This window comes from Homo sapiens, chromosome 5 (genome assembly GCF_000001405.40).
Source record: "Homo sapiens chromosome 5, GRCh38.p14 Primary Assembly".
Classification (NCBI taxonomy): domain Eukaryota; kingdom Metazoa; phylum Chordata; class Mammalia; order Primates; family Hominidae; genus Homo; species Homo sapiens.
This window is the reverse complement of record NC_000005.10, coordinates 113,085,579-113,113,042: the sequence shown is the minus strand read 5'-3', so window position 1 is coordinate 113,113,042 and position 27,464 is coordinate 113,085,579. Positions and strand designations below refer to the sequence as shown.

The 27,464-nt window shown below is 43.8% G+C and overlaps 1 protein-coding gene across 2 annotated transcripts in view; it reads left to right on the top strand.

Annotated features, from left to right (window-relative positions):
* The window catches only part of MCC (MCC regulator of Wnt signaling pathway), a 466,348-nt gene that overhangs the window by 375,411 nt on the left and 63,473 nt on the right, over positions 1-27,464 (top strand). For both annotated transcript variants that reach the window (NM_001085377.2, NM_002387.3), the window contains 2 exons: positions 8,688-8,851; positions 11,098-11,304. In NM_001085377.2, coding sequence (NP_001078846.2) covers positions 8,688-8,851; positions 11,098-11,304 — 371 coding nt within the window. The remainder of the gene's footprint in view (positions 1-8,687; positions 8,852-11,097; positions 11,305-27,464) is intronic.

Sequence of the window (27,464 nt, the reverse complement as noted above, 5' to 3'; positions counted from 1 at the left end):
TCGTAGCAGGCCTACAGCTGCTTCTGTTTCTTAGCCTGGCTAAAATTCTCTGTGACTTATGTCTCTAACTTCACTGACAGCTTTCTACCTTGGGAATCTTAATTGAAAGCTTTCTGCCCTATTAGCAGGCTGTGATAATGTCATTTGATAGGTTTTAAATTTGACACTGGATTAACAAGTAAATTAACAAAAACTTGGGACTTTAAAAAGTTGGCTTATAAAAAGTCTTCCATTTATTTTACATGTTAATCTCATCCAGTGTTTGTAGAGCACATGTTCCATGCCCAGCACTGTAAGTCTCTGGGACATGCCCAGCACTGTGAGTCTCTGGAAACACACTGTTGAATGAATGAAATCATCAACTTTTAGGGCTGAGTGCCAAAGGGCTGGGAAGGCTTCCTGGAAAATGAGATTTCAAGGCTGTATTAGTCCGTTTTCACACTGCTATAAAGAACTACCTGAGATTGGGTAATTTATTTAAAAAAGAGGTTTAATTGATTCACAGTTCCACAGGCTGTACCGGAAGCATGACTGGGGAGGCCTCAGGAAACTTACAATTACGGCAGAAGGTGAAGGGGAAGCAAGCACATCTTACATGGCCAGAGAAGGAGGAAAAAGAGAGAAAGGGGAGGTGCTACACACTTTTAAACAACCAGGTCTCATGAGAACTCACTATCATGAGAACAACATGGGAGAAGTCTGCCCCCATGATCCAGTCACCTCCCAACAAGCCCCTCCTCCAACATTGGCGATTACAATTCAGGATGGTTTTTGGGTAGGGACACAAACCCAAGCCCTATCAAAGGCAAAGCTTAATAAAGACCCAGCATGGAAGGCTTCCAAACTAGGCAAATACCTAACCACTAGTGTGAAGCAAGTACCGATCCCCAGGAACACGTGCTTTTGGAAGCTGGGACCATACTTTGGAGCAAAGTCATTCTGGTAAAGAGGGGACTGCTTGGTTGGAATCAGGTGGACCAGGGGAGATGTTTGTAACATCTCACCTGTTGGAGCTGCCCTTTATTTGAGTTAGGATTTTTACAGGGCTTGTTTGTTTAAAAAAGCAACTTTTAACACCTGATTCAAAATGAACCAACTCTGCCGTAGTTAATGGTGTCAGCTCTGGGCATAGGCATAGCTGATCCTGAGTAAGAAAGAAGAAAACCAGCTTTGTCCACTGGTGTGTGTTTAACTAAGCCAGAAGGCTCATTAGGATTCTTAGTTTTCACAGCCATGAATGTCCTCTTACCTCCTTTCCAGATTTCCAAAGTATAGTAAGTCCTCAACGTCGTTGATAGGTTCCTGGAAAATGCAACTTTAAATGAAATGACGTGTAACGATACCAGTTTTATGGTTAATTGATATAATGAAGAGTTAAGTTCCTGTAGTGTATTTGTGGTCACTGAAACGTTAGTGAATTTCTAAATAGAGACCCAAAGCACTTCTAATATTAAATGTGGGAATAAACTTGAACTATATGTACATTTAAGGCAGATTAATAAAAATAAGGGAGATAATTATTTAACCCCTTATTCCAGGTCAGTGTCGCAGGTAGCTGAGGCCTATCCCAGGAGCTCAGGGTGCTGGATGGGAACCCACCCCGGCCAGGTGCCATCCCATCGCAGGGCACACACATTCATTGTCTCTGTCTCTGTCTCTCTCTGACTGGGACTGTTTAGATACACCAATGAACCTAACGTGCTGAGCTTTGGGGTGTAGGGGAAACTGGAATACCCAAAGATAAACCACACAGCCATGGGGAGGGGACAATGTACAAACTCCACACAGACAGTGGCCCCAGCTGGGAATACCTGTTTCCCTCCTCGTCTATGTTATAATGAGACGATGTTGAACAAAATGTTATTTGAGGACCTGCCATATGTGGATCTTTCCCCAAACAGCAACATAAAAACCTAAGGCTCTGGTTCTCCTTAGAAAAATATAACCTGAGCTGTGTATTATTGAGCTCTTATCAGGAGGCCAACTGAGGAAAATTGCATTTAGAAAAGAGGAAAAGGGCAGGAGGAGCCATGGACTTGGGTGGAGGCGGGCAGAGCAGAGGAGCACTGTGGGTTGGGCGTGCTGAGTCCTGGGGTCTGCGGCTGGCCCCTCTGCACATGGCTGTGGTTGAGAAGCTGGGCCCCGCATTGCCAGATCTTCTCATTTTACAAGGATAGCCATAAATTTTAACAATTTTTAAAATGTTGACAGTTAACTCAAAAACTGTTTTAAAAATAAAAAAAAGGCCATGCCAGACACCATAGCCCTATCCCATATGCAAGCACATCTTTGGCTGCAGGTGGCTGGTTTGCATCTGCTGGCCAAAGGGAGAGGTCCATTCCATCCAGTCTTCTGGGTCCTGTTCAGTCTTATCAGACAGCTTTGAAGACTGAGTGCCAAGATTACGTGAACTTAGCACTCCCCAGAGTTCCCTTTACCTTGTGCTTTAAATGGTCTACAACTTTAATTTTAACTGAAGGTTAACATAAGAAGAAACCATATGAAATCCACATATGTGTGAAACTGGCTGAGGAGACTGGCATCACATCACTTCACACCACGTATGAAGTACCGTGTACCTAAATCCTTCTAGCGTCTGTTGCCAAAAACACCTTGTCTCCCTTGTGAAACCGGAATGCTTCCTCCTTTCTGTCAGGAGATAATTCATATTTGCTGAGGATGCCAGGATGCTCAAGGCTAGCTGGAGGAGTCAGCCCTCTGCTGTGTCAGCCTCCGTTTGCTCCCAGCCTTTCCCTGATCCAGTCACCGTGTTTTCCCCTTATTTGTGGCTGCTTGTGATAAGCAACCTCAAATTCTTCTTTAGAAAGGGGCACAGTACAGATAAACTTAAAGGAATGTGTATTTGCTACCAAAGGCCTCCTCTCTGTCTCCTGGATGTAGAACAGTTTCCTTTGATGCATAAAGCACAGCACAGGTAGCTCACGCCTGTAACCCCAGCTACTTGGGGAGCTGAGGTGGGCGGATTGATTGAGCCCAGGAGTTCGTTCCTAGCCTGGGCAATGTAATGAGATCCTGTCTCTGGAGAAAAAAAAAAGATTTTTAAAATAAAAAAATAAAGTACAGCAGAGGCTGAGGGAGAAAGCCAGTGGGCCTGCCTCAGCTGCCCTTCATGGAGTTGCATGGCAGTGGGGGCCAGGGTTTTTCTAAAGAGTACATTACTCCCCCTTGTCCTTAGACTTCCCATATCTCTTTCTTCCTTCTCTTGCTCTCCAACCCACAGGGGAAAATTTTTTTTAATTAAATTACAATACTTCAAATCCTTTCTGAATGTGCTGCCATTCTTGAAGGTTACCGTTTTCTGTTTCATATCAGCCTATTTGCTTATATCTCCTCATTTTACTCACTGATATACATTTATTATATTTATTGTGGTAACAAACATGAAATTTACCATGGTAATCATTTCTAAGTGTACAGTTCAGTGGCATTCACAGAGTTAGTGTGACCATCACCACCACCCATTTCCAGGACATTTTCATGCCAACATAAACTCTGTACCCGTTAAGCAATAACTCCCTATTCTCGCATCACCCCCACCCCGGTAAACTTTATCTCCTGTCTCTGCATTTGCGTCTTCTAGATACCTTGTATTAGTGGAAATATTTGTCATGTTGTGTCTGATTTATTCTAATTAGTATAATGTTTTCAGGGTTCATGTTGTAGCATGTAAAAGAATTTTATTTCTTTTTTAAGGCTGAATAACATTACATTGTATTCAGAGACCACATTTTGTTCCTTCATCTGTCAGTATACCCCTGGGCTACTTCCACCTTTTGGCTACTGTGAATAATGCTGCTATGAACATCGGGGTACAATTATTTGAGTCACTGCTTTTCATTGTTTTTGTTAAACATAGAATTACCATATGATCCAGCAACTCTACTCCTATACTTAGGACCTACTGTGGCACCTTATGCCACAGACTCTGAAAGACAGTTCTGTCTGGAGCCATGTGGATGCTGGCGGTGAGTGGTGATAAGTGCTTGGTACCTTGACGTAGTACCTTGAGAGGGGACACAGAATACCTGCTCCAGGCGGCCCAGTCTCCTCGTCCTCCTGTGAGGCTCCAAACAGGGAAAAATAGCAATGGACAGTCAAGTGCCAACTGGTCACTGATGGGCCTGTGTGAAGCCACAGTGCAGAGTTCTGCAGCACAAACTGGAGTTTGTGGGGTTCATCACCTCACCTGTGTTTTTATACATTCAGCTTCCTATGACCAAAGAAAGTATGTGTAGCCCTCATTGGTTTGAAGGGTAGATATTCTTCAGAGTCTGTGCATCAGTGTAAATGACCTCACATCTTGCCAGCTCTCTGCCTTGTGTCTGCACTGTGTTATCTATGGTTACTTCCCTTTTTTTTTTTTTTTTTTGAAATGGAGTCTCGCTCTCTTGCCCAGGCTGGAGTGCAATGGCTCGATCTCAGCTCCCTGCAACCTCCACCTGCCGGATTCAAGCGATTCTCCTGCCTCAGCCTCCTGAGTAGCTGGGATTACAGGCCCGCACCACTATGCCCTGCTAATGTTTGTATTTTTAGTAGAGACAGGGTTTCACTATGTTGGTCAGGCTGGTCTCAAACTCCTGACCTCGTGATCTGCCCGCCTCAGCCTCCCAAAGTGCTGGGATTATAGGCATGAGCCACCACACCTGGCCACTTTCCTTTCTTTTTTTTTTTTTTTTTTTTTTTTTTTTTTAAGATAGAGTGTTGCGTCTTGCTCTGTTGCCTAGACTGGAGTGCAATCTCAGCTCATTGCAACCTCCACCTCCTGGGTTCAAGTGATTCTCCTGCCTCAGCCTCCATTACAGGTGTGCGCCACCACACCTGGCTAATTTTTATATTTTTAGTAGAGACAGGGTTTCACAATATTGGCCAGGCCAGTCTTGAACTCCTGATCTCAGGTGATCCACCCACCTCGGCCTCCCAAAGTGCTGTGATTACAGGAGTGAGCCACTGCGCCTGGCCTCTATGGTTACTTTCCTTACAGTAGTGGTGGGCAGCAGAGAGGTGGGGCAGTGGCCTTGTACTTCTGGGGGTCTCTCACAGTTAAGGTCAGTCTCTTATTCATCTTTGCACTCTGCTCTGGCCTGAGTCAGGGCTCGGCAACTGCCCAATTTAAGTATGAGAAGGAAATACTAGTCACATGCCTAGCCCCTCTTCCTGCTCCCTGTAACCCAGCACCCTCAGGAAGCAGCCTGTTGCCACCACTCCGGCTCTGCTGTGAGAGCCCCTCAGCAGACATGTCCATTGTCATTATTGCATCAGGTGGACCTGCGCTAGGGAAGTCAGCACAGAATGTCTGAATATTTCATGAATATCTCACTCATGAGCACTTAATGCACATAACTCAGGACAGCGGATTCACACCAGCTCTGGATACCAGGAGACCTGCACCAGAGGGTACGTGGTCATTCAGAGGCTGGTTGGTGTGGTCTCTGAGTTGTTCTTCTCCTCACTTGGGTCCTTTGCCTCCAGTTGGTGTCCACCTGCCTCCATCTCCAAAGGGCCTCTGCAGTGATGAGCATCCTAGTTCTTAGCAGCTCAGGTCGAGGTCCACAACAAGGAACAAAAGCACTGAGGTCAGGAGTTCGAGACTAGCCTGGCCAACATGGTGAAACCCCGTCTCCACTAAAAATATAAAAATTAGCTAGGTGTGGTGGCACACGCCTGTAATCCAAGCTACTCGGGAGGCTGAGATAGGAGAATCACTTGAACCCGGGAGGTGGAGGTTGCAGTGAGCTGAGACTGCACCACTGCACTCCAGCCTGGGAGACAGAGCGAGACTCCATCTCAAAAAAAAAAAAAAGAAAAAAAAAAAAGAAAAACATGCTACTATTGAGTCTGTTTATAGCCTTCCTGTCTATTAAATAAATGATGATGTGGTGTTTCTCTTTGCCTATTTAAAAAATAATATTTGACCGCCTACCCTATTCTCTGTTGGAGATACAAATGATGAGGAAGATCAAAGTCCCTTCTTTCCTGGAACTTACGTTTAGTAGAGGAGAGAAAACAAACATGTAAGTCAGATCAGATAGTGATAATTGCCATGAAAAAAATAGGATAAGAAGATAGGGAATGGGTAAGGGAGGAGGTGAAACTCCATGCTTTAGATAGGGAAGAGCTTGTTGGGGAGATAGCATTTGAGCTGAGAGCTGAACAATATGTAGAAATTTGGTTGGCCAGGCATGGTGGCTCATGTCAATTATCTCAGGACTTTGGAAGCCTGTGGCAGGAGGATTGCTTATGGCCAAAAGTTTGAGACAGGCAACATAGACCCTGTGTCTACACAAAAATAAAAATATGAGCTGATTGTGGTCATGTGTACCTGTAGTCCCAGCATCTTGGGAGGCTGAGGTGGGACGATAGGTTGAACCCAAGAGTTTAAAGCTTTAGTGAGCTAGGATTGTACCCCTGCCTGTACTCCACAGGATTGTACTCCAGCCTATGCAACAGAGCAAGACCCTGTCTCTAAAAAGGTTGTATTTTTTTTTTAATTAAAATTTTAAAAAATCAGCCTAGACAAAGGAAACAGCAAAGGAAAGGAACCTGTGGAGCAGACAGGAGTTTGGCATATTCCAGGGGGAAAAAAGAAGGCCAGGAGTGTGAATGGAGCATAGTGAATGAGGGGAAGGAGTGTGAATGGGGCATAGTGAATGAGGGGAAGGAGTGTGAATGGGGCATAGTGAATGAGGGGAAGGAGTGTGAATGGGGCATAGTGAATGAGGGGAAGGAGTGTGAATGGGGCATAGTGAATGAGGGGAAGGAGTGTGAATGGGGCATAGTGAATGAGGGGAAGGAGTGTGAATGGGGCATAGTGAATGAGGGGAAGGAGTGTGAATGGGGCATAGTGAATGAGGGGAAGGAGTGTGAATGGGGCATAGTGAATGAGGGGAAGGAGTGTGAATGGGGCATAGTGAACAGGGGAAGGTGGATGGGTGAGGCAAGATCAGATCAGTGGTTCTCACTCTGACTGCACGTTAGAATTACCTGAGGAACCTAAAGTTGCCATTGTGCAAGCCCAACCCCCAGAGATTGTGATTTAATTGGTCTGGGGTGGGGCCTGGGCATCCGTAGTTTATAAAAGCTCCCCAGGGACATGGTGCAGCCTGAACTGAGCACATCAGTCTTGATCATGCAGAGTTTTACAGGCTCTGGTAAGGAGTTGGGACTTTATATGAATGTTGATGGGAAGCCATTAGACAGTTTGAACTAGGAAAATAACTTGTTCTGATTTGCGCTTTTAGGAGGCCCACTTTGGTGACCGCGTGGAGAGTAGAGGCAGGAGATTGTTACAGTGGTCCAGTTGAGAGATGATGATGGTTTAGAGCAGGATGGTGTCAGTAGAGATGGTAATAAGAGGTCAGTTTGAGGATAAGTTTTGGAGGTTGTGGTCACAAGATGAATTGGATTTAGTATGTCAGACAAAGGCATAGAAGGTTGCCTCAGAGCTCACCTGAGTAACTGGGTGGATAGGGGTGCCATTCATGGAGATGGGAGAGATCGGGGAGGAACAGGTTTGAGAAGTAGGTAGACTAGTTGTGTGTATTGGTTGGAGTGAAAGCCTTAGGCTGATCTCTCTAGATTTAGGTAATTTACAAATAGAGGCAACCAGATGAGGTTGACTAAAACATTCTGAGAAGTCCTGTTCCTGTTGTGCCAAGAGTTTTCTTGAAGTCTTCCAAAGGTAAGTCCCAAAAGCAGTTAACCATTTTAGTACATGGAACCTGTGGTGAGAAGCATGCAGGAGAGAAGAAGAAAATGGAAGACACTGAGCAATTTTCATGCAGGGTTAGGCTGGACGTAGGTGAAGAATGTACTCTGAAAGATTACATATAATCAGTCAGCATCTGCCCTGCAACAATAATTGAATGGCATGGCGATAGACAGAATCCAAAACAGCAGGTTACAAAATTTGTATTTGACTTTAAGGGGAGTTTTCTTCCCAACAAAATTGTCTTCTAAGATATATCTGAATCACATTATAATTATTTTTTATTTCTCTGACCAGGCCCTGGATGTCCAGCGGTTCAAAGCAACCCAAGTTTTTAAGTCAAAATCAAATTATTAGAATTGGTTGCCTTATGTGGAGAACAATAAGGAATTTGTTAGAACAGTTTATTTTTCCCCCTGATGAAAGAACATGGATTAAATTGCAACAGTGGAGCATATTGATTGGTTCTATCATGGAAAAGTTCTTGGTTTTAGGCTCATTGAGGGCAAGGACTATCTCTTACACAGTTTCTGTTTTTCAAAATACCTAGCATCTCTGCTCATTCTGAGACTTTTTGTTACATTTAGTAAAGTTATGGGATCTTTCTGCAGTTAGTGCTTGTCTGAATGACAGCAGACAGGTTGACCAGAGGCTCTGGAAGTGCCAACAGCCTCTTCTGGGCATTTCTTTGTTCTTACTAAAGAAACTCAAGATGTGGCTGCTTTGAGTGAAAGACAAGAGAATTCAGAAAATGACCATCATCTGAAACTCTTTAATAAAAAGAGCTTTGCATTGGCTCCAAGTCTCAGAGGCAGTGCCTGTGAGGTTAGGCTGGCTGGTGTTGAACTTTGAAATGTCAGGCTCCATTGCCATCCCATTACCTGAATGAGTCCCTCATGGTAAGCAAAACAGACAGCATTTGTTGCCCTGTGTAACGCATTTTGTCTTCATTCACTCACAGACAACTGCAGTGACCTGAACTCAGAACTGCAGAGGGTGCTGACAGGGCTGGAGAATGTTGTCTGCGGCAGGAAGAAGAGCAGCTGCAGCCTCTCCGTGGCCGAGGTGGACAAGCACATTGAGCAGCTCACCACAGCCAGCGAGCACTGTGACCTGGCTATTAAGGTAGACCTTCCTCACCCTCTGTGAGGCCCTTTGAGGTTCTGAAAGGGAAATGGTCCAATCCTTCTCTTGAAGTGCAGTTTTCTTAAATACTTACTAGGGATGAATGTTTCCATGAGAGCCATACAATAGATTGAGCCACGGTGTAGAAGCGGGGGCTCTAGAAATTTTGGTTGGGCTGATTTATTTCAGAAAAAGTCATGATGTCAGCAGTCAGGTTCACTGGCTTTGCGGTAAAAAGGACAATTTACTTGGAAACCATTCGACTGCTAGTATTGAACCACGTCATTTTAGAGTGGTTCATCATAGAGCCACTCGTAAGCTGTAAGTTTAGCTTGGAAGTTTTGTTAAAGCTCTAAGGCCTCTAGAATACGATTTCAGGAGTCCATTCATCAATTCCTCTTGCTGTTTGAGATGGTGACAGGAATTTGTTGCATCTGCACAAACTCATTGTGAATGATGGGAAAGTCAAGGCTTACTGATACTAGGCCTCTGGTATCTTTATATTCCTTCAACGTAACTTAGTGACCTGGGCATAGCAATTCAAATTTAAAAGTCTAGGAGGAGCCCATAAAGAGAAAATGCAGGCCCAAGTTTCTATAAGTAGGAATCCTGGATTGCACAAAAGAACTGTGGTGTCACAAGGTAAACCACGATGCATGTTTGTAACACTGCTGGTTTTCCATCTTTCTTCATCTCAATTGCAAATATGTAGTTGATGTAGTTCAGGGCAGGGAGAAGCAATTGCTGGTGTTTCTTTCTCTGGAATCTCCTGGGCCCTATATTTGATTGTAATGTCAACTTGGGTCTAGCCCCAACCTCGGAGTTGAGAGGGAAGGAGGAGGCCAAGGGCCTCTACCAACCAGCTAGGGACAAAGCCACAGGGTCTGGAGCAGAGCCAAGTAGGATGAGAGTCTCCAGATTTAAAGGAAGGACAAAGCAGCACATGGGAAAAGTGGCAGCAAGATTTGAGAACCAACATGAGCATCCAAGAGTGATGTACCCTTATGTTTTTTAGTATTGGAGGCGTTCTGTTTCTTTTCTTTTCTTTATTCTTTTTATTATTTTTATTATTTTTTTTTAGACGGAGTCTTGCTCTGTCGCCCAGGCTGGAGTGCAGTGGCATGATCTCAGCTCACTGCAACCTCCACCTCCCAGATTCAAGCGATTCTCCTGCCTCAGCCTCCCAAGTAGCTGGGATTACAGGCGGGCGCCACCACGCCCGGCTAAATTTTGTATTTTTAGTAGAGACAGGGTTTCACCTGAGGTCAGGCTGGTCTTGAACTCCTGACCTCAGGTGATCCACCCGCCTGGGCCTCCCAAGTGCTGGGATTACAGGCGTGAGCCACTGCACCCGGCCAGTCTTCTGTTTCTTATTCCATCTCTTCACTGCCTTCTACCTCTTCATAGTAATTCTCCCTCTTGTTTCATTATCCACTGGCTTGTGCTTCCTTTTTCAAAGGACAGTAAATGTGAATGAACAGTTTATAAGAGTAAGCAGAATGACTTCTTCCTTTTTTCCCTAATATGCATGTTTCTTCTTCATTAAATGTTTTTAAATGAATTTTTTAAAACTATGTGCTACTAAGATTTTCCTTTAAATTTTGAAGCTGTATTATTAATTTAATCCCTGCTGTCTTAGAAATCTCCACAATGAGCTTCCTCTTTTCTGTGTCAATGAGGTTTATTTTTGTCTTTCACATCTTGAGACTGAACCTCATTTGCACCATCTGAATTTGGATGTGGCACTAAAAGCTGGAAATGGTAATGTGACCTATCTTATCGCTGAGTTGGCATGTGGGAGGCCTATAATTTAGGAAACTTCAAGTTAGATTTTGTATGCAGTTTACAACCTCATGTTTGTCCTCACATTACCAGGATCACTAAATGGCCTTCTGCCTGGTTGTGTGTATCCACCAACTCTGGAACTCAAGTGAAGGAAATAAGCATTGTGTGGATGTGTCAGCTAGCACCACAGACAGACTCAGCTGCCAGGAGAGGACTCACTGTTTTTCTTACTCTGAAGGTTGCCAGGTAACACAGACTGTACCCCAGGCAAGTGACAGAGCCTCATCTGAAATTGGAGACAGGATAACTTTGGGGTGTCTGTAGTCATGATCACTATTTATAACAAAGTGGTTCTAGAACACACTCCTCTATGGACATTTATTCCTGTTCAGCCTATTTTCTTCCTATCCCCTTTCTCCAAGGTAACTTACTTGACTTTTCTTTGGGGCTGTGTTTTACAGACAGTCGAGGAGATTGAGGGGGTGCTTGGCCGGGACCTGTATCCCAACCTGGCTGAAGAGAGGTCTCGGTGGGAGAAGGAGCTGGCTGGGCTGAGGGAAGAGAATGAGAGCCTGACTGCCATGCTGTGCAGCAAAGAGGAAGAACTGAACCGGACTAAGGCCACCATGAATGCCATCCGGGAAGAGCGGGACCGGCTCCGGAGGAGGGTGAGCATGCTGCATCCATAATGGTCAGGCCCTTCCTGGGCATGGGGCTGAGAGAGGCTGGTGTATAGCACCAGGGGCACCGTGAGAATTTTGTGGCATTTGTAATTTTGGGAATCACTGTCTCTTTCCTGTTATGAAGTCCTTCTTGAAAGTAGTTCGAAATTGCTAAGGTATAGAGGTAAGATTTAAAAAAAAAAAGCAAACACTTTTCTCTGGAATCTTAAATCTGACTGGTTGATAAAATTACATCGGGGCAGTGATTCTAAACTTTCCAGGGTAAGCACATCTTTTCTAAGCTCAATTAAAATGTTCTTTAGGATAAACTAATAGTCTTTAGAATTTGAAAAAAAAAAATGGAATTTTACCTTTTTAATTTTTTTCTATAAAATTTTATTTAGCTTTATTGTACCTGCTCTCATTTGCTTATACTGAATCTAGTATAGAATGTCGTCTCTCCTGGTGCAGACTTACTGAAGTTAAAATAGCCATATCTTGTACATTGTGTGCATATATGTATGTGTGTATGTGCATCTGTTTAAGTGTGCATGTTATGTGTGTGTCTCTGTGTTTACAGATGTGTATGTGTGACTCCTGCTATTCACCCTAGGGCCTGACCTAGTTTGAGTATCATTTTGTTTAGGACATGTATCCATTACTGAAGGAGCTAATGTTTCAGGATAGAAATGTTCGGCAGAATTGTTAAAGCCTCAGTTTTTCCAAGGTGAAGTTTTTAATCCCAGGAACCCACAAGCACTTCTGTGTTTGGCTGTGAGTTTGATCTGTGATTGGACTGGGGGTGAAGCAATGAATTCCTCAATCAAACACTTCCCTCAGAACTTCACTTTGAATTACTAGACTTACTTGACTCTCTTTCTTGGTCTTGGCAATATTAGAAGCTTGTTTTCTAGTTGTGCTCTGACTGCTAATTTTGTACACAGATAAAGTTGACTTAGAAGGGGAAAAATACTGGCCAGGCACAGTGGCTCACGCCTGTAATCCGAGCACTTTGGGAGGCCGAGGCAGGCAGATCACAAGGTCAGGAGTTCAAGACCAGCCTGGCCAATATGATGAAACCCCCGTCTCCACTAGAAGTACAAAAATTAGCCAGACATGGTGCTGTGTGCCTGTAGTCCCAGCTACTTGAGAGGCTGAGGCAGGAGAATCGCTTGAACCCGGGAGGCGGGGGTTGCAGTGGGCCAAGATCGCACCACTGCACTCCAGCCTGGGCGACAGAAGGAGACTCCATGTCCAAAAAAAAAAAAAAAAAAAAAAAAGGGAAAAATACATCTAGTGGGTCTCATCATCCTTCACCATTGCTCTTGCTCCCTTAGCCATAAAAAAGACCTTGTAAATAACTTGCTCTTCTATGCTTCAACGAGCTCAGGATGTGTACATCATTTTGTTTTTAATCCATTTGTAAGTATTCTTAGTTGCCATTATATAAAACGGAAGAAATTACTATTTTTGAATGTTATCAACTCTTCCTCATTTGAAAAATATGGAAGAAATTACTATTTTTGAATGTTATCAACTCTTCTTCATTTGTGCTAATGTCATAATTAAAAGGCTGGCACTACTACCTCTCATATCTGAACATCATTTTGTCTTAACTCACGTGCATAAGCATATTTTCAGTATGCAGCTATATCGGATGACAGTCTCCATAGTTGCATCAGCAGGTGTAAATCATCCCAGTCAGCAAAGGCTTTATCTGGGCAGCATGATGAAATTTGCTTAGCACTAAAGCCCACGCCACCTGTAATTTCCTGGGTTACACTCCCCGATGATTATCACTGATGTCCTAATTAGGTATGTACTTGCTCTTAGTGTGTGCATTCTGATGGTGCATGTTTTGTGAGGGAAATTGTTGGTCTTTGGTGTAATTACATATTGTGGTTTAGAATGAATTTTCTTCTCTCACTTGCCAGCCCTTCATGGTGGACTAGCAAAAAATAAAAAGTCCCCTTCCCCACTTTCCAGTGTTTTCTCCAACTCTGGAGGTCAGTATTAAGAATAGCACAGTGCGGAGGCACTACACTAGGTACCAGGGCTCTGGAGCCAGATTGCCTGGGTCATGCACAGCCTGACCTGCCAAGTCACCACGAGTCTTTGGCAGGTTGCCTAACCTCTCTGTGCCTCAGTTTACTCTGCCACGAAGTGGGACAATAATAGCACCCAAAGCAAAAATTAGATAATACTCGTAAAGTGGTTAGGCGATGTCTGGCACGTAGTAAATGCTCAAAAAATTAGTAGTAGTTCTTTGGAGTAAAATATATAGTTACCTGTCGAGTGATACGGAAAGTTGAACACCATCCTGTCATTTTTTTAAATAGGAATCCTTAGATGTTTGAAGAACTCCAACATGGACATTGGATAATTACACACACACACATACAGGCCTGCACACATAGACACATTTTAGTCAAAGCCTTTCTTCCAGTCACATCTGTTACCTTTTATAAGTTTGTGCAACTAGTATAGTTTTGTATAATTTTTATTTCAGTTACCTTCAAATAATGTTAACTTTTATCTCTTCCTCAACTAGAGATATTCTCAGGAATTTATATACATACCATGAATTGGATTTATTGCTTTTTATTTCAAGATGAGTGTAGATCTCAAAAAGTGTACTAGATGCATTTGAATGCCTGTTTACTAGACTTTAAGTGCCAAAAGTCTTCTTCCAGCCGTCACTCACCCACCCACCTAGTGTGCTTTATTTCCCTCAGGAGGGATCTGTCCTTCGTGGTTGTCATTGTCTTCTGTTCTTGACGATGTGTAGCTCTGCAGAGTGACTGAGGTACCATTTTATTTTTACCCTGTGACAGTACAGAGTACAAGGCTGGTTTGCCTTTGCTGTCTTTGTAGCAGCTCTGAATCCATAGTTCATCAAAGTTCCTTGACGAGCAATTGGGGCCACTTTCTTTTTCTTTTTTTCTTTGCCCACATTCATTGTATAGAATTTTAACCGACCAGATCAATAGGATTGGTGCTTGAACCGTGCCTGTAATTAAGCAAAGTGCTCTCTGTAGGTCTTCTGAGCTTTGTTCAAGATTTAATTAAATTAGATCTTTAATGTAGTCAGTTAACAAATTGGGCTAGTGGCAGAGCAGTACCTAAGGAGCAACAGGCAATTTTATTATTGGTCCTAGTTCATTACTGAATGAGGCAATCATTTATTTCTGTTTGCTCTGTGATATAACCATGTATTTCCTCACACATAAAGAATTGGGCTTAATGTAGGCAAGGGAGAATTACTCTGTAAAGGAATTACTTTATTCTTCATTCATTCATTTCACAAACGTGATTGGTCATCTCTGTGCCAGACAGAGGGGTTACAGTGATGAACAGGACACAGTCCCTGGCTTCAAGGATGTTGGAGAGACAGGCAAGTAAACAGATCATTGCAAGGTTTATGTCAAGTGGTGGGGACAGGTAAACACAGAGAGTGCCCTGAGAGCTCCCCAGAGAGTCGTGTGATGGCAGGAACCACTTTCTCCACATTGTTCCCATTTTTTTAGCTACATTGTTTAAGTCAGCCATGATGTGGCAAAAATAATCAGCGCTTTCCCCAATGTGTTTGGCAAAGCAAACTTGATATGACCACAGGCACATGAAACTGTGTCCCGCTGAACCATAGACTTGAACACAAATCGGCCACATAAGTTCCTTCTGAGATTTTCTAGAAATTCTTCAGATTTACAGAATTCTTCTGCATGTTCATGTCATAAGGTGTTAACAATTTCTTCTTTACACACTGTGCTCTACCTGGGTATTTTCTGCATGTCTTGGAATGAGTTCCATCTGTCTCTCCTGGGCCTCTCTCATCCTGGGGGTCTGGCTTCTGGTTTCATTGCCACAGTAAATTCAAGAGACAAGTAGACATGCTATTTTGAACCAAATAAAAGTCACCCTCGGCCAGGTGCGGTGGCTCACGTTTATACTTCTAGCACTCTGGGAGGCCGAGGCAGGAGGATTGCTTGAGCCCAGGAGTTTGAGACCAGCCTGGAAGTGTAAGTGTTGTGATCTTACAGAGGTTAAATAAAGAGACATCTATGTTTTCCCTCACATCTCTTTTAGCCTCATTTGGCCATAGTCCCGTCTGAGCTGGTCCCACTCTACCTCCCCTTGGTGTTGCTTTTCTTGAGACAGGGCTATATAGAGAAAATGCAGACTGCAAAATAGTACTTTATATTTATTATGAATTTATAGCTGTATAAATTTCCATTTCATAGATATTCATATGTATGTATATAAAAATATTGAAAATAGACCAGAAAAATATAAACCAACATCATAATGGTAATATGTTGTATTGGCCTCAAAGGGACCTTAAACTTCTCTATAATGTTCTAATTTATGTTTTTAATGAATGTATTCATATCATTGTATAATTTTTAATATGCAGAAGTATATACATAGAAATAGAACACTGATATGCTAAAATATTAACAGGTTAAATCTGGGCAGTGGAAGTATGCGATTGCTTTTTTTCTTCTTTGTCCTCTTTAATTTTCAAATTAAGCAAAAACAAAAAAGTATGGATTATGGAGAATGATCTGTATCTCACAGCTTTTAATGGTTTGATATTCACATATAAGCTGAGTCTTCTTTTTTGTCCTTTATGGAACTTTGTTCATTTCTTATTTGTTCCATTTCTTCATGGGAATTTCTTTTCAGGATAAGGAAGAGGATGCCAATATTAGCTGAGTTTAAATTCATAAAAGTTCTGTAAAACCAAGTCCTGTCTCAACACCGCTCCTCTCAGCTCTCCCCAGCTGTCATCTAGCTGCATGGGAGGGAGCTGAGAGGAGCCAGGTCTGGCTTCAGTGTGCTCCTTCCACATGGGAGGCTCAGGTGGCTCTTCTTTTGTATGGCTGGTATATTAGTCAGTATGAGGCTAGATTTTTCTGCAATAACAGGTTCACTCCCCAAATCTCAGTGGCATGGCACGTTGTTTCTTGCCTGCACCATATATTCAGTGCAGGTTAGGGGACAGGTGCACGTCTCTGATCCATACATTCACTCAGAAACTCAGACTGTTGGCCATCCACCACCTAAGAGCCCACTCAAAGGCTCCCACCACAGCATTTAAATGCTTCTGCGCCCTGCCTGTTGACCAGAACTAGGCAGATGGCTTTACCTAACCATAAAGGGGCTTAGGAACATGTGGATATTCAACAGTACAAGTTTCTGATGCAGCTGATTTACATGCTTTGACTATGATACCAGCCGGGCTTGGCCGTGAATCAGAGTTGCAGAGAAACAGGCAGTTTCACTCATCCATCTTGTGGTGACCCCACACGTGTGTGTCAGAATCACTGGGAAGCTCTTTGAGAGGATGTGTGCCCAGGCCTTTCCATGAGCCAGAGTCAGTAAATGGGGTGTAGCACCCTGGCACACTCCCCCACATTATGATTGTGGTCAGCACTTGGAGACAAGGAAGGGAGAGGCAGTGTCCTTTGGTCACCCACTGGACATGGGCCAAGAGCTTCTCCAAGTGTCCTCTACTTCCCCTCTGCAGGTGAACTGAGAGAAAGAGCTACAGGCTTTCTGCCTTCTCCTCATGCCCAGCCTGCTCCTCCTGGGCCCACCATGTAGCAGTGATAAGCCCGGCATCTGCTAGGGAAGCTGCCTGCTATGTGGAGCCTGCCCTGCACTGTCCCTTCACCAGGGTCATCTGAGCTAGAAGTGGAGGGAGGGTGGAGTCCACCAGGGTACAGGCACCCCGGGGCTCCCAAGGCATGGAGGCACTGCCTGGCCCAGTGCCAAGTCCCCCAGCTCACCCCATGAAGGAAATCACTTCCACAGGGAGCCACTTACCAGTGCAAGCTCAGTAGGGCTTATTTTTAAGAAAGGCTCTGTTAATAATATTGATAGTATTGACATTCTGTGAATATTTGCAGACTGAACTCCTCTCAGACTAGACACCCCCCAGATTAAAATCAGATACCTCTAAAGGCAAAGCGGGACTTACTCAAAGCCTAAATCACCAGCCTGGGTAACATAGCAAGACCTCTGTTCTACCAAAAAAAAAATTTTTTTTTTTTTAATTAGCCAAGTGTGATGGTGTGCACCCATAGTCCCAGCTACTCGGGGGCTGAGGTGGGAAAATGGCTTGAGCCCAGGTGATCAAGTCTGCAGTGAGCTGTGATCACACCATTGTACTCCAACCTGGGTAATAATAGCAAGGCCCTGTCTCTAAAAATAAATAATTTTGAAAACCTAAATTATGATAATAGCCCAGAACATATTTCAAACACTTATTTGTGATGGGTGATGATTTATGCACATTTTGTTTAATCTGCTCCAGAATCCTAGCTGATAGGTACTATTATTATACCCTTTTTAGAGATGGGAAAACAGAGGCCTACAAAAGCTTTAACAATCTTGCCCAAGTCTACGTTGATGTTAACTCTTGGTACCAAAATTTGGGATCTGGTGGCCTTATTAGGGGAGGCAGTTGTCATTGTTCTCTTGTTTAGACCACTTTCCTGTAGCCTTCTGTCCACCCTTGTCCTCATCCTAGCCCCACTCCCATGCAGACCAACAGTGGGTAAAATGTCCTCTGTTACAGCAACATGGGGGCCAGATTCCTTAGGGTTTCACAGACCCACTCTCCTGGCATTCTAATGCTACATGAAGGCACACTGAGCTTGTTGCAGAAAATAGGAAGCTGGTGGTATGCATGCTTTTACCTTGACCTGAGTCCAGTGTTGTGTTCCCCTCCTCTCTGTAGACTGAGGGAGTTTTAGGGGGAATCCAAGGCAGAGAATCCCCAGAACCCTGGTTCTTTGACCTCTTCCATGGACACAGCTCCCAGTTACTTCATGAGGGCCTTACACACACTTGAGCCACGGAGATTGTGAGGCAACTCCTGCTGTGGGCACCAGTATTTGCTTACTCACCCCAGCCTCATGTGCCTATGAGGAGGCCAGGCTGCTTCAAGGCTAGCTCTTGGCTGTCATGAAAGAAGCTGACTCAATTTGTCAAAAAGCTGGTAAGAAATTAGGAACATTGGCCGGGAGCGGTGGCTCATGCCTGTAATCCCAGCACTTTGGGAGGCTGAGGCGGGTGGGTCACAAGGTCAGGAGTTCGAGACCAGCCTGGCCAACATAGTGAAACCCCGTCTCTACTAAAAATACAAAAAATTAGCCAGGCGTGGTGGTGGGCGCCTGTAATTCTAGCTGCTTGGGAGGCTGAGGCAGGAAAATCGCTTGAACCCGGGAGGCAGAGGTTGCAGCAAGCCGTGATCGCGCCACTGCACACCAGCCTAGGCAACGTGTGAGATTCTGTCTCAAAAAAAAAAAAAAAAGGAAGATTGCCAAAATGCTGGCCTTTTCCAATGCAACCATTTTTATAACACATCCAGGTACTTTAGTGGGCTATAAAACAAAAGAGAAAATAGCACACATATCAAACTTACCGAGAGATGGAAATGCTGTTGGATGTTTTCTCCTTCTATTTTGTGATCTCTCTCTTCTGTTTCCATCTAGTCAAAATTGCCATTAACAATAAAATACCACTATCCTGAAACACCATGTAAATTTGATTTATAGAAAGAAATAAATATTTGCTGTAAATAGATTCTGATTATTTGAGGGCTCTAAGAAAAATCATATAAAATCTCCAATAAGAGGTGTGGTTCTCGGCAAAATATCTACAAACCCTGGACTTCGAGATAGCAGCTTTCCAAAAACTACACAGGGACTAACTGCATGAAGCTCATTAAGTAGAACTTTCCCAGCCTAGTGATTCTCACCATTCTATAGTGTGGGAATCATCTCATCTCAACCAGCTCCATTACACAGTGAAATTATGAATTACAGCCTAATTGCCTGAAATTACAACTACCCAGTGAGTACTGCTACGTATCATCAGCAGAACAGGCTCTTTCTTTTATGGCTAATAAAAATGTTTCTGATCCTGCTCAGGACTCTGGTGCCACCTTGCCTTCCTGCTTGTCACTCATCTGTGAGCCACATTCACAGATGACTTCATCAGCTGACTCTTGTCTGTGCTCCCACAATTGTACTCAGAGATTGAAGCATCCGCATAGCTGACCTGTCTCATACTTGCCTAGCCTCACGTTTCCAAGGAATTTCCTACCACTTTGGAAACCTGCTTCTGTGCACACTCTTTGTGTTTGACAGCTCTAGGGCCAAATCCCCCCAACATCTCACTTTCCCACTCTGCCTAATCCCTTATGCTCCTGGCTTGCATCATTTACTTTCTTTTGGATTGATTGAGAGAGAGAGAGAGAGAGAGATCAACAGATAGATAGATAAGATAGATATGGGATCTGGCTATGTTGCCCAGGCTGGAATGCAGTGGCTATTGACAGGTGTAATCACAGTGCGCTCGACCCTTGAATTCTAAGCTAAGCGATCCTCCTGCATAGCAAGCTGCCTGAGTAGCTGGGACTACAGGTGCGCACCACCATGCCTGGCTTTTGTTGTAATTTGGCACTCAGGACAGAGAGAGAAGATAATTATATTCACTAGTCACATTCACTGGTCCCTCTTTTAATTTATTCCTTGCAAATAATTTATCCCATATAATATCCCATCCCCTTCCCCCCATTTTGTGCATGTCCTAAGATAGTGTTTTGCATTACTTTTAATTTATTTAAATGTTACTCTGCTGTCGCCTTCTCTTATGTTTTTCTCCTCAGCACTCTGATTTTAAGGTTTGTCCATATGGCTGTGTGTACATCTGGTCCTGTGTGTCTAAGGACATCTAGCATTCTATAGTGACCCACCTATTGCATTTACAGCAGCTGACAATCAAATTGCTTCCCATTTCCCATGACCACAAACAATGCTCCGGGGCATAGTCCCTTGCACATGTCTCCTCCGGCCTGGTGGGAATTACTCAGGATCACATGTCCAGGAGTGAAACTGCTGAGTCTCAGAGTGTGTATAGTCTTGCTTTGACCAAGTACCCCAGGGCAGCTTTTGGGAAATCTGGCCAGCCCATCCGCCCAACAGCAGCAAAGGAGTATTTCACCACCTACGTCAGTGTCAGCTCTTGTACTTTCATTGTTTCTTTCATCTCATTCTTTTTCTCAGGTTTAATTTTCTTTGGTACTGAAAATCATGTATTCTTAGGAAATTCTTTCAGCAAAGATCTATAGGTGATAGATTCTTAATCTTTGAGAGGGTCTTTATTTTTGCCCACACTCTTGATAATAGCTGTGTAATCTCCTGTGGCTGCTGTAACAAATTATCATGAACTTAGTGACTTAAGACAACACAAATTTATCATCTTACAGTCCTAGGGGGTCAGAAGTCCAAAATGCATCTCATTCACTAAAATGAAAGTGTCGGCAAGGCTGCATCTCTCTGGAGGCTGGAGGGGAGAATATACTTCCTTGTCGCTTCCAGCATCTAGAGGGAGCCTGCATCCTTTGAGTATGCCCCTTCCTTCATCTCCCAAGCCAGCAGCATAGCATCTTCAGAGCTCTAACTCTGGCACTCCTGCTTCCCTCTTAGAGGGGTCTTGTGACTTCTGAGTCCACCTAGATGATCCATGATACTCTACCCATCTCAGTTCCCTTTTGCCGTACAAGGCTACATTTACATTTCTCGGGGTTTAGGGCGTGGATGCCTTTGGGGGCCATCATTCAGCCTACCACAATATTCTAAGTAGGCATTAGATTTTAAGGTGATAGGTTTTTTAGTGGCATTCAATAGATTTTATTGAGACTGTGTCAGTCCCTGTTGAAGGTGTTGGCAATGCAGTAGTGAATGAAACAGAACAACACCCACAGACCCACAGAACCTGAGATGCCTCTATCCCATGAGAAGGCAGTGTGTGTGTGTGTGTTTGTGTGGTGTGTGTGTGTGTGTGTGTCTGAGTCTCATTGCATCACCCAGGCTGGAGTCCAGTGGTGTGATCCTCCTAGCCCACCATGGCCTTGACCTGCCAGGCTCAAGCAATCCTCCCACCTCAGCCTCCTGAGTAGCTGGGACTACTGGCTCACGCACCACTCCTGGCTGATTCGTTGTTGTTGTTGTTGTAGAGACAGGGTCTTGCGCTATTGCCCAGGCTGGTCTCAAACTCCTGGGGTCAAGCAACCTTCCCACCTTGGCCTCCCAAAGTGTTGGGATTACCACCAAAGCCACCGTGCCTAGCCCCACAAGAAGGCTTTTAAGATTTGGTGTCTATTTTTGTTTCATTATTTCTTAATCTTAAGGAAATTATTCCCCTTATCTCTTTAAGGTTCCTCAGTGTACCTATTGTGATGTGGTTTACCAGTTGCTTTATTTTCATTTCCCCTAGGGTGAATTCAGCTCCTGATTCAGACTGCTGGCTCTCTTGTTTTATCTTTTGCTCTCTGTAGTTGTCCTCACTCTGTGTCTGGCAGCTTTGTGGACCTGGGCTCCCAGTCATGGGAAGCCTAAGTCTCCTGTTCTCTCTTGATACTGGGCGATTTACAAATTAGGCAGTTTCTGAGGCAGTGGGTGGCCTGGCAAAATCCAAACCAGTTTCCAGTGTTCATGTCAAGTTTGGAGTCCCACAGTATGCAGATAGTATAAATTTGGACCTCACACCCAAAGGTGCCACTGGTCTGGGGTTTTGGTTTCTGAAGGTTGACTCCGCTGCACAGCCTCAGGATTCCTTCTGTGGACAGCACTTTCAGCTTTTCACCTATGGGTCGAGCAGAGAGGCTCCAGGCGTGAGGCAGAGGGATCAGCTCAAGCAGCTAGACTAGCAGGCGCCCTCCATCTCCTCCCTCCCACGCTCTCATTCTGTGCCCTGCTCACAGCCCCTGGGCTTGCGGTGGCACCACCTCCTGGCAACTCCTTCAGCCTTCTTTCTCATTTCTGGCATCTGGAGATTTTGCTGTCTTTTGACCTTGGCAATGAATTTATTTCTCATTGTTCCTTTTTTAATGCAGGATTTCTATGCATTTTTAATAGGAGCACCTGTTGACTTTAGCTGAAGCTGTCATATGCCGGGAAGTTTCAATTGTTGTGTACAGTTACATAGCTGCAACCTCTGTTAACCTCTGAAAGCCTCTGTTCTCATTCTTGTCCTTCCTGCTCTCTGCCAAAGCTGAATTAGAGTCTGCCATCGTCCTTCTGGGTAGACTGGCTGCCTCTCTTTGTATACATTATAGACTTTTTTTATTCTGTGTCTTTCATCAGTGCTCTTCTTTTCACTTGGCCGTTGAGGAACGTGTCCAAATTTTGTTTCGGCCAATGCCCCAGGCACATTCTTATCTCCGTTGTGGTTTTAATCCTTTTTTATTTTGTACTATTATTTATTGAGGTCTCTAGAGTTGGAAGAAAACAATGTGTTCTTCAGTCTACTGTCTTCAAAGAGAGCTCAACTGAGCTGTCAGTGCTGCTGTGTAAGCTTCCTTTTTTTTTTTCTTTTTTGGTCCTAGGTCAGCCTCCTTTCTCATTTCTGACATTCCCCCCTCATGCCTAGCAGAGAAAATAGAAGCCATCAGATGGGAGTCCCTGTTTCGCATCTTCCCCTGACAGTCTGCAAATCACGTTTGTTATTGCCCGTCCTCACCTCCTTTCCTTTTCTCCCCGAGAAAAAGGTGTCCCCATCTCCCTGTCCTCCACTGACCCTCCACTCCTGCCAGCTCCACACAGGCACTCTGCCCACCACACTGCCACACCTCCTTCCTGGACCTTATCCATGCCCAGCATTCCTAAATCTATCTATCCAGTTCTAATTGCTTTCCTTCAGACTTACATCTCTAATTGTTGACTGATAAGCCCTCTCTTACATACCCAGTTGTTTTCTCAAATTCAGCATGTCCAAAGCTGATATCATTGTCAGCTCCGGACATTGTCAGCTCTGGTCATTTCTTTCCGAAAAGATCAGCTTCTCTTTATGTTTTTCTTTCTCATTGCTAAGTAACTCCATGATCCACTGAATCACCCCAGCTACAAGTTTGGGTGTTTTGTTTGTTTTTTCACCTCCTTGAATATTTTTAGAACTGCACTGATGGGTACAGTAGCTACTAGCCACATACAACCATTTAGATTTGAATTTAAATAAAGTAAAATACAATACAATTAAAAATTCAGTTCCTTGAGTACACCAGGCACATTGCAAGTGCTTACAGCCACGTGTGGCACCAGGCTACCATAGCAGATAGTGCCACTCTAGAACATTTCCGTCTGTACAGGAAGTTCTGTTGGATAGTACTGGTCTAGAGTGTATTTTGCCATCCTTATTCCCACTTCGCTGACTGTATTTGAGCCCTCATAATTTCCTATCTGAACCATCAGTAGAGCTCTTGGCTCACCAACTTTTTCTTCCTTACTTCAGTCCATTTTCTCCTCTAATCAAATGATTTTTACAAAACCCTTGAAGAAATACCAGAGGGTAACAACTGCAACCTTTTAATGTCATTTCCCTACTTGAACCTTCCAGAGTCTCCCCATTATCTTTTCCTCTTTATTTGCTTGTTGAACAGTTCAGCCTTCAAGATTGAGTTCTAGCGTTGCCTGCTCTAGGAAGGCAGAGGCCAGCCAGGTTTCTTCTTCTGCACTTTGACACTCCTTGTTGATACCCCTCTTTCAGAGCATGTTTCCCATCATAATGTTTACCAGACACGCAGTAACTTCAGGAGAAGTGAAAAAACAGCCTCTCAGGTCATGTTCTGGTGTTGAGGAACCCCAGTTGAGAAAGGCTGTGAAGGGTGCTGAATGATGTTCCCGCAAGTGTCAGTCCCTGCCTCAGGTTAGCCCTGGTTCTTGGCTATCTCTTGACTCCAAAATATATATTTTGTAGAGAGAAACATAATTCCTTCAATAAAAATAGCCGTGTGCAGTGGCATGCCCCTGTAGTCCCAGCCACTTGGGAGGCTAAAACGGGAAAATCTCTTGAGCCCATGAGATTGAGGCCAGCTTGGGCAACACAACATAGTGAGACCGTGTCTCAAAAAAATAAGTCTTCAATGAAGAAGGAGTATTTGGATTACTACAAACTCTCATAGTTCTGGAGTCTAGGAGTCCAAACTCAAGGTGTTAGCAGAGCCACACTCCCTCAAAGGGCTTTGAAAGAGAATCCTTCCTTGCCTCTTCGAACTTCTGATAGCTCTTGGTGCTCTTTGACTTGTGTCCAATCTCTGCTTTCATCTTCACAGGACCTTCTTCCCTGTGTCTCTCTGTCTTTGTCTTAAATATCCCTTCCTTTTCTGTTAAAAGAACACCAGTCATTGCACATAGGGCCCACCCAAATCAGATTATCTTGCCTTGAGATCGTTAATTTAGTTATATCTACAAAGACCCTATTTTGAGATGCGGTCACATTCACGGGTACTGAGGATTCAAATTTGGACATATCTTTTGGGGGAGACATAATCCAACCCACTACAATGGGTGAGAATAAAAGTGAGAACTCTATTAACTATGTTTCTGCCTCTTTCCGAAGCCATGCCTAAGCTGACTCAGCATATTGGCTTTAGCCTTAGTTTCTTGCATTTATTCCTGTAAATTAAGATTCTCACTCTCAAATCAAAAGAAGGGGGAGAAGGCCACTTAACCAGCTGTCTTTCTTTCCCTGACAGGCACACTGCACTCCCTTCAGCTGGGTTTGTTTCCACTGGCTAGCAACTATCATTAAATAATAAAGCATAGCCCAAAATAAACATGTTTATCATCTTTAGTTTTTAAAGACATTCTCTGGGTCCGAAGTTTTTAAAGTGAAAGTAGATATTTAGATTTAGAAATTATTTTAAGCACATGTGTGCACATACACAGCAAGGAAAATGATTAGAGTAAATTGCCTCTGTAGAGTAAGAAAGAACATAAGCACTTTGACTGTTTTTATGTTTTAGTGTCATCTACATTTTCCACAGTGAGCATGTTTTACTTTTGTGATTAGAAGAAGAAATGTTTTTAAAACATGGATAGTTTTAATGAAGTCTTTATAAATTGCCCAGGATTTTTTTTATCTGTATTTTTTTTTAAATAGAGATATAAAAAAAAAAAAAAAGATGAGTAGGCCAGTAGGGATTCTAAGAACAGACCACTGATTGTCTTGAGTGCAATTCAGACACCATTTAGGTTTTGGAGTGGTGTTAACATTGTTAATTATTCAGGACCTTATCAGACTCATCAGCAGTAAAAACTGAAATTCACCGGGAGGTTGAATTCACCGGAGGTTGCAAGTCTCCACCGGGAGGTTTCCCCCAGTCCCTGAGGAAATGAATGAGCCCTCTCTCTTTGCCCAGTCTCTCTTTGTGGCATAATGAGGTATCCACCCCTGTACCCATTTTTGGTTTGTGAGGGACCATTTCAGAACGAGTCCTGTAATCCTTCATCAGCAGTACCATTTGGCTTCTACAGGGATATATTTTCCTATTCTTTAGGCTATTTTGAGTTTAGCCCTGTGTCTGGTCTGTTTTGAGGACAGCAAGCGTTTCCATCGATCCTCCGTTACTGGAACCGTGGCAGAGCATTAGGCACTTTTGAGCTGTTGCACTATTGAATGCAATTTGCTTTGAGGGAATTTTCCTATTTTAGCTTCTAATATGTTGATGAATTATTGAAATTTCAATTACTTTTGGTTCCCAAGTTAGCAGGATGGAGACATCCTAGACATTTAATATGAAAAGCTTTCCAGTGCCTTTTAGAGAAGGGGCCATGTGCCTGCCTGTTCTCTGCCCTGTCTAGAAGACTTTTGGCGGCAGGGCTGGCACCGGGGCATGGCTCCACTCTTCCTGTCTATGGGATTAAAGTGCTTTGTGGCCTTGGAAGTCCCTTAGGTGAGTGCTATTCAAGGTATGGTCCCCGACCGGCAGCATCAGCATCTTTTGCGAGCTTACTAGACATGCAGATCTTGGGCTTCATCCAGACCCTGCTAAATCAGAATCCCTGGGGTAGGGCCCTGGAATCTGTTTTAGCAAGCCCTCTGGGGGATTCTAGTACACATTCTGTTTAGAAAGCCCTGTCTTAAATTTCCTAGTGCTAACTCTTCCCAGCCCGACAAAGTCTGATGTCCATTTGTAAGGACCGCTGGGTGTTGTAGTTAGTTTGCTCTTTCAGGTAGACACTGCACTCTCATGCTGAAACTGCGACCAAGGTTATAAAAGACCAATCTCTAGCAACTCTCTTCAGCTACTTGGAATACTTCTCTCTTTGGAAGTCACAGAGTTGTAACTATAGAGGAGCAGGATTTGGACATTTAATTTCTGTGCAGGTAAATGCACGTTTTAAATGTAACTTAGAGGGTCCCGTGTTTCTTTTTTATATAGAAGGACTATTTAGACGTTCCTACCTACTATTCCAGGGAAAATCTCATCTGTAGGTAACTTGGGGAAAAGGTGCTGGCTCCATCAATGTCTCTTCTCTTAGCCTAATATTTTCCCCAATACAGACACTTCTGCTAAAACACACATATTGAATAACTTGCACCTCTTCAAACATAGCATATCATCCTAGCACCTGTTCAACCCCCCAGGCATATCACCACTAAAGCCATCTCCTCACTTGTTCTCCTTTAAGATTGCTCAAGTACCACTGTCTTCATTCAGCTTTCTCTGGATGACTTCAGCTGGAGTTATATTCTTCCCTTTTTCTGCTTCCCGTAACACTTGACATAGAAATTTATAACACTCAAGTGCACTTGTCTTGAAATCATTCCTGTCTCCTCTGGGCTCTGAAATGATGATTCCATGAGAGGTGATATCATCCTGGGTCCTCGTCCGCAGTCCCCAGCACAGTCAGGCAAGTGGGGCTGAAAGAATAAACATTCCTTAAAGGTAGTTATCCAGTGGCTTGGCACAGTGGCTCATGCCGGTAATCCCAGCACTTTGGGAGGCTGAGGTGGGAGAATCGCTTGAGTGCAGGAGTTCAAGACGAGCCCTGGCAACATAGCGAGACTCTATCTTTACAAAGGAATTTAAAAATTAGCCAGGTGTGGTGTGTGCACCTAGTCCCAGCTGCTCAGGAGGCTGAGGCAGGAGGATCCCTTGAGCCCAGGAGATTAAGGCTGCAGTGAGCCATGGTTGCACCACTGCATTCCAGCCTGGGCAGCAGAGCAAGACCCTGTCTCAAAAAAATAAAAATAAAAAAAGATGGTCATCCATCCTGGAAGCTTCCAGGGCCTTACATAATATGTTCACCTCATGCTTGTGAAGAATAGGTGATGGTCTGTGGCAGATTCCGTTAAGAATATGGTGACTC